Raw genomic sequence first — 7,038 nt, forward strand, 5'->3', positions numbered from 1 at the left:
TTTTTAAGATAATTTTTGAAGTGTTTAGAAGTATGGACATTGTAATCAGGATTCCCGGAGTTTTTATTTTGGCTTTGCTATTTGCTAGGTATATGAGCTTGAACAAGTGATTTCACTTCTTTCAGTTTCAATTTCTTCAGCTTTATAATACTTATACATATATTATAGTGATACATGTAAAAATCTCAGTACCTTGTTCCTACATAATAAATGCAAATCAAATGTTGATTGTTATTATTATTATACTGTTACTATTTGAATTAAGGTTTTATACAAGAATCAGATTTACAAGTCTTATCTCCACTTTATATATGGATTTCTACAATGAAACCTGAAGAGACAGGATAGGACATAATATTCTGTTCAAGATACAATGTATAAATTCTGTTTCAATTAATAATCTTGATAATTTTAGGTAGCAGCATTTCATCAGATTGTGATTGATGTTACCCTGTAAAAAGACAAATAAAGAGTTTATCTTTGAAGTAAAAAAAAGTCAACTCTGTGTGTTCATCTTTCCAATATTAGCACTGTATTTAATCATCAATAAATAAATTTATTTTATTGATCTTTATTCTTTCATTCAAAAATATTTATTGCATGTCTATTAGGTGCAAGAAACACATTTAGACCATAGCAATGAACCAAACATCATAAATTCAACTGAGTGGAATCAGATACCTAAAAAAATAAAATACATACTATATTAGAAGGACTTCACTACTATAAAGAAGAATAAGACCAGAATATAGAGAAATGAGTTTGTGTGGTGGTGTTGGTGAGAAAGGGATGTGGTAAATAGCAGCTTTAAATGGGGGGGGGGGGCAGGGAAGACCTCACTGAGAAAGTCACATTTAAATAAAGATCTGAAAGAGTAGGGGAGTGAGCCATATGAACAGCTGAGAAAAGAGAGAACAGAAAATGCCTCAGTCAGAGGCATTCTGTGGGTGTGTGAAAACAGGAAGAAGGCCAGTGTGGCTGAAACAGAATGAGCAAAAGCTAGAGGAGTAGAAAGCAAGATGAAAAGGGCCACAGGGGAGAGAGCTTGGAGGGCCTCATGGCTGCAGGAAGGACTCTGGCTTCACAATGTTGTTATGAGACTTCCACAAAGAATACTCATAGACCATAACGGCTTCATGACCATAGGACATTTGGACCTGTGGAGACAGGAAATATGAAGCAGTAATTAAACAGTAGAATATGTAATTTCTTATTGTGTAGATTAAATATATGTAAAAAGTAAAAGTAGATGTATATAAGTAAAACGTTTTTTTATTTGTTTGTTTTTCTTTACTATGTAATCATTGCACCCAGTAGAGCAAGCTGTGTTGTATGTTATCCTGAAGCAGCTACATAGCAATGGAACAAACTATGACAAAAGTGTTTGCTGTGAGCCAAAGCAAACCTTTGGAATACCAAAGATGGAGAGAAGAAGCAGTCAGAGGAAACAGAAAAGATTTTCTAATGGTTACAAATAAGGCCAGAATTGTATCTGCAGATGACATCAGCTCACTCCTTTTCTCCACTTTCAAACTTTTCTTATTCTATATGACTAGAGATAAAAAAGAAACTCTGTCTACCTATTACCACATAAGGAGATAAAGCAACACAAGCAATGGCTGAATCATCAGAGAAATGACTCAAGAAATGGAGGAAGATATTAGAGAAACATATCGCTTAGTCTCAACTCAGAAGCCACAAGCTCTCTCTTAGAGAGACAGCACCAAGCTTTCTAAGTTTCATGAAAGATATTCTAACACAAAAAACATTTGAGAAGAAAACTAGCCTATTTTTTTAAAAAATAGAAGATAAAAATATAATGATAAACAAACATTAAAGAAACAAAAATAGAAAAAAGAGTGAAAACACAGCAAATGACACCATGATAGGCTTGAATAAATCACAGAGAGAGAATGTAATGGGAAATCACAGTGATTATAAAATAATTATAAAGATAAAAATGTTTATGGAAGACAGACCAATGTGATATTGCTTACTTGTGGTGATCTTGAAAAAGAAAACAAATGAATTTTTTAATAACACTCCAAATTATAATATAGTAAAACTTTTCTAAAAGAAAGAAAAGTGAATTTGTGTACAAAAAGGGCACAGAATTATAACGGAAAAAAACCTGCAGAATGATCAACTTAAGCATATATATGGACAAATTTACTGTATTTTTATGATGACTAAAAAGTTAAATGGTCTGCAGCAGAGAAATAAGGCAGGTAGAAACAGAAAAACTCAAGATGACCTCAGCCTTTTCCAAATCAATGCAGAAGAGAATAAGATACTCTCCACCAAAGTTTAAGGAAAGTGGGAGCGAGGGACTTAAGGATTATATTCCAAGTAAAATTGTCCTTAAAGTATAATCTGAAAGGCATGTATGTATTTGGAAAATCCAGGGAACAGAGCACTCATCATTTCCTTGTGGAAAACTGCTGAAAAATGTAACACAGTAAATAAATTTTTAAAAAAGCAATTCAGTAATAGAGATGCTGTAATAAAGTGACTGAGGATAATCACCGAATGTTTTCAAATACAGAACTACAACTGACCAGTCTTGCCAACATGGTAGATTTTGAAATGGGTATATTATTTTAGATGCCAAGAAACCATGTGGCATCTTGAAAATTGACCTTACATTAGGTAGCCTGACTTTCCACACACATGTGATTACAAGTCTCCTGCACTATCATTTCTACAGGTAAAAACAGGTGAAACCCGCTCAAGATGAGGTTTCAGTGAAAACACGATCAGTAAGCAGTAATGACGTCTCTATCCAGACAGCATCATAAAAATCCATATGTACAATACTTTTGGGGCCTCTAGAGTTACAAGAGAAAACAAACTGCTCAGCCTCATTTTTTGGCTTTGGTAAGTAGTTAAGCTGATTGATATGGCCATTTTCTTCTTAATGGTTGCCTTGTTAAATGGAACAATTTTGTAGATTCAGTTGTCTGACATATCTAAAAGAATCAAAATCTCATTTCCCATATGAATAGCCTCCACTAGCTGACATAGATTCAGACTGCAAAAACTGATGAAGTTCGGAGGAGCCAAGATGGCCGAATAGGAACAGCTCCGGTCTACAGTTCCCAGCCTGAGCGACGCAGAAGACGGGTGATTTCTGCATTTCCATCTGAGGTACTGGGTTCATCTCACTAGGGAGTGCCAGACAGTGGGCGCAGGCCAGTGGGTGAGCGCACCGGGCGTGAGCAGAAGCAGGGCGAGGCATTGCCTCACCTGGGAAGCGCAAGGGGTCAGGGAGTTCCCTTTCCGAGTCAAAGAAAGGGGTGACGGACGCACCTGGAAAATCGGGTCACTCCCACCCGAATATTGCGTTTTTCAGACCGGCTTAAAAAACGGCGCACCACGAGACTATATCCCACACCTGGCTCGGAGGGTCCTACGCCCACGGAATCTCGCTGATTGCTAGCACAGCAGTCTGAGATCAAACTGCAAGGCGGCAGCGAGGCTGGGGGAGGGGCGCCCGCCATTGCCCAGGCTTGCTTAGGTAAACAAAGCAGCCAGGAAGCTCGAACTGGGTGGAGCCCACCACAGCTCAAGGAGGTCTGCCTGCCTCTGTAGGCTCCACCTCTGGGGGCAGGGCACAGACAAACAAAAAGACAGCAGTAACCTCTGAAGACTTAAATGTCCCTGTCTGACAGCTTTGAAGAGAGCAGTGGTTCTCCCAGCACGCAGCTGGAGATCTGAGAACGGGCAGACTGCCTCCTCATGTGGGTCCCTGACCCTGACCCCCGAGCAGCCTAACTGGGAGGCACCCCCCAGCAGGGGCACACTGACAGCTCACACTGCAGGGTATTCCAACAGACCTGCAGCTGAGGGTCCTGTCTGTTAGAAGGAAAACTAACAAACAGAAAGGACATCCACACCGAAAACCCATCTGTACATCACCATCATCAAAGACCAAAAGTAGATAAAGCCACAAAGATGGGGAAAAAACAGAATAGAAAAACTGGAAACTCTAAAACACAGAGCGCCTCTCCTCCTCCAAAGGAACGCAGTTCCTCACCAGCAACGGAACAAAGCTGGATGGAGAATGATTTTGACGAGCTGAGAGAAGAAGGCTTCAGACGATCAAATTACTCTGAGCTACGGGAGGACATTCAAACCAAAGGCAAAGAAGTTGAAAACTTTGAAAAAAATTTAGAAGAATGTATAACGAGAATAACCAATACAGAGAAGTGCTTAAAGGAGCTGATGGAGCTGAAAACCAAGGCTCGAGAACTACGTGAAGAATGCAGAAGCCTCAGGAACCGATGCGATCAACTGGAAGAAAGGGTATCAGCAATGGAAGATGAAATGAATGAAATGAAGCGAGAAGGGAAGTTTAGAGAAAAAAGAATAAAAAGAAATGAGCAAAGCCTCCAAGAAATATGGGACTATGTGAAAAGACCAAATCTACGTCTGATTGGTGTACCTGAAAGTGATGTGGAGAATGGAACCAAGTTGGAAAACACTCTGCAGGATATTATCCAGGAGAACTTCCCCAATCTAGCAAGGCAGGCCAACGTTCAGATTCCAGAAATACAGAGAATGCCACAAAGATACTCCTGGAGAAGAGCAACTCCAAGACACATAATTGTCAGATTCACCAAAGTTGAAATGAAGGAAAAAATGTTAAGGGCAGCCAGAGAGAAAGGTCGGGTTACCCTCAAAGGGAAGCCCATCAGACTAACAGCGGATCTCTCGACAGAAACCCTACAAGCCAGAAGAGAGTGGGGGCCAATATTCAACATTCTTAAAGACAAGAATTTTCAACCCAGAATTTCATATCCAGCCAAATTAAGCTTCATAAGTGAAGGAGAAATAAAATACTTTACAGACAAGCAAATGCTGAGAGATTTTGTCACCACCAGGCCTGCCCTAAAAGAGCTCCTGAAGGAAGCGCTAAACATGGAAAGGAACAACCAGTACCAGCCGCTGCAAAATCATGCCAAAATGTAAAGACCATCGAGACTAGGAAGAAACTGCATCAACTAATGAGCAAAATCACCAGCTAACATCATAATGACAGGATCAAAGTCACACATAACAATATTAGCTTTAAATGTAAATGGACTAAATGCTCCAATTAAAAGACACAGACTGGCAAATTGGATAAAGAGTCAAGATCCATCAGTGTGCTGTATTCAGGAAACCCATCTCACGTGCAGAGACACACATAGGCTCAAAATAAAAGGATGGAGGAAGATCTACCAAGCAAATGGAAAACAAAAAAAGGCAGGGGTTGCAATCCTAGTCTCTGATAAAACAGACTTTAAACCAACAAAGATCAAAAGAGACAAAGAAGGCCATTACATAATGGTAAAGGGATCAATTCAACAAGAGGAGCTAACTATCCTAAATATATATGCACCCAATACAGGAGCACCCAGATTCATAAAGCAAGTCCTGAGTGACCTACAAAGAGACTTAGACTCCCACACATTAATAATGGGAGACTTTAACACCCCACTGTCAACATTAGACAGATCAACGAGAGAGAAAGTCAACAAAGATACCCAGGAATTGAACTCAGCTCTGCACCAAGCAGACCTAATAGACATCTACAGAACTCTCCACCCCAAATCAACAGAATATACATTTTTTTCAGCACCACAACACACCTATTCTAAAATTGACCACATACTGGGAAGTAAAGCTCTCCTCAGCAAATGTAAAAGAACAGAAATTATAACAAACTATCTCTCAGACCACAGTGCAATCAAACTAGAACTCGGGATTAAGAATCTCACTCAAAACCACTCAACTACATGGAAACTGAACAACCTGCTCCTGAATGACTACTGGGTACATAACGAAATGAAGGCAGAAATAAAGATGTTCTTTGAAACCAACGAGAACAAAGACACAACATACCAGAATCTCTGAGACACATTCAAAGTAATGTGTAGAGGGAAATTTATAGCACTAAATGCCCACAAGAGAAAGCAGGAAAGATTCAAAATTGACACCCTAACATCACAATTAAAAGAACTAAAAAGCAAGAGCAAACACATTCAAAAGCTAGCAGAAGGCAAGAAATAACTAAAATCAGAGCAGAACTGAAGGAAATAGAGACACAAAAAACCGTTCAAAAAATTAATGAATCCAGGAGCTGGTTTTTTGAAAGGATCAACAAAATTGATAGACCGCTAGCAAGACTAATAAAGAAAAAAAGAGAGAAGAATCAAATAGACGCAATAAAAAATGATAAAGGGGATATCACCACCGATCCCACAGAAATACAAACTACCATCAGAGAATACTACAAACACTTCTACGCAAATAAACTAGAAAATCTAGAAGAAATGGATACATTCCTCGACACATAAACTCTCCCAAGACTAAACCAGGAAGAAGTTGAATCTCTGAATAGACCAATAACAGGAGCTGAAATTGTGGCAATAATCAATAGTTTACCAACCAAAAAGAGTCCAGGACCAGATGGATTCACAGCCGAATTCTACCAGAGGTACAAGGAGGAACTGCTACCATTCCTTCTGAAACTATTCCAATCAATAGAAAAAGAGGGAATCCTCCCTAACTCATTTTATGAGGCCAGCATCATTCTGATACCAAAGCCAGGCAGAGACACAACAAAAAAAGAGAATTTTAGACCAATATCCTTGATGAACATTGATGCAAAAATCCTCAATAAAATACCAGCAAAACGAATCCAGCAGCACATCAAAAAGCTTATCCACCATGATCAAGTGGGCTTCATCCCTGGGATGCAAGGCTGGTTCAATATACGCAAATCAATAAATGTAATCCAGCATATAAACAGAGCCAAAGACAAAAACTACATGATTATCTCAATAGATGCAGAAAAAGCCTTTGACTAAATTCAACAACCCTTCATGCTAAAAACTCTCAATAAATTAGGTATTGACGGGACGTATTTCAAAATAATAAGAGCTATCTATGACAAACCCACAGCCAATATCATACTGAATGGGCAAAAACTGGAAGCATTCCCTTTGAAAACTGGCACAAGACAGGGATGCCCTCTCTCACCGCTCCTATTCA

General features: G+C 39.1%; 1 annotated feature.

Moving 5' to 3' along the window:
- Positions 839 to 1,078: an enhancer, noted in NCBI's record as "active region_20189". NCBI's record gives its function as "activates an Ori minimal core promoter by ATAC-STARR-seq in GM12878 lymphoblastoid cells {active_cell/tissue: GM12878}" and the evidence as "EXISTENCE:reporter gene assay evidence [ECO:0000049][PMID:35858748]".

Source organism: Homo sapiens, chromosome 3 (assembly GCF_000001405.40).
Source record: "Homo sapiens chromosome 3, GRCh38.p14 Primary Assembly".
Classification (NCBI taxonomy): domain Eukaryota; kingdom Metazoa; phylum Chordata; class Mammalia; order Primates; family Hominidae; genus Homo; species Homo sapiens.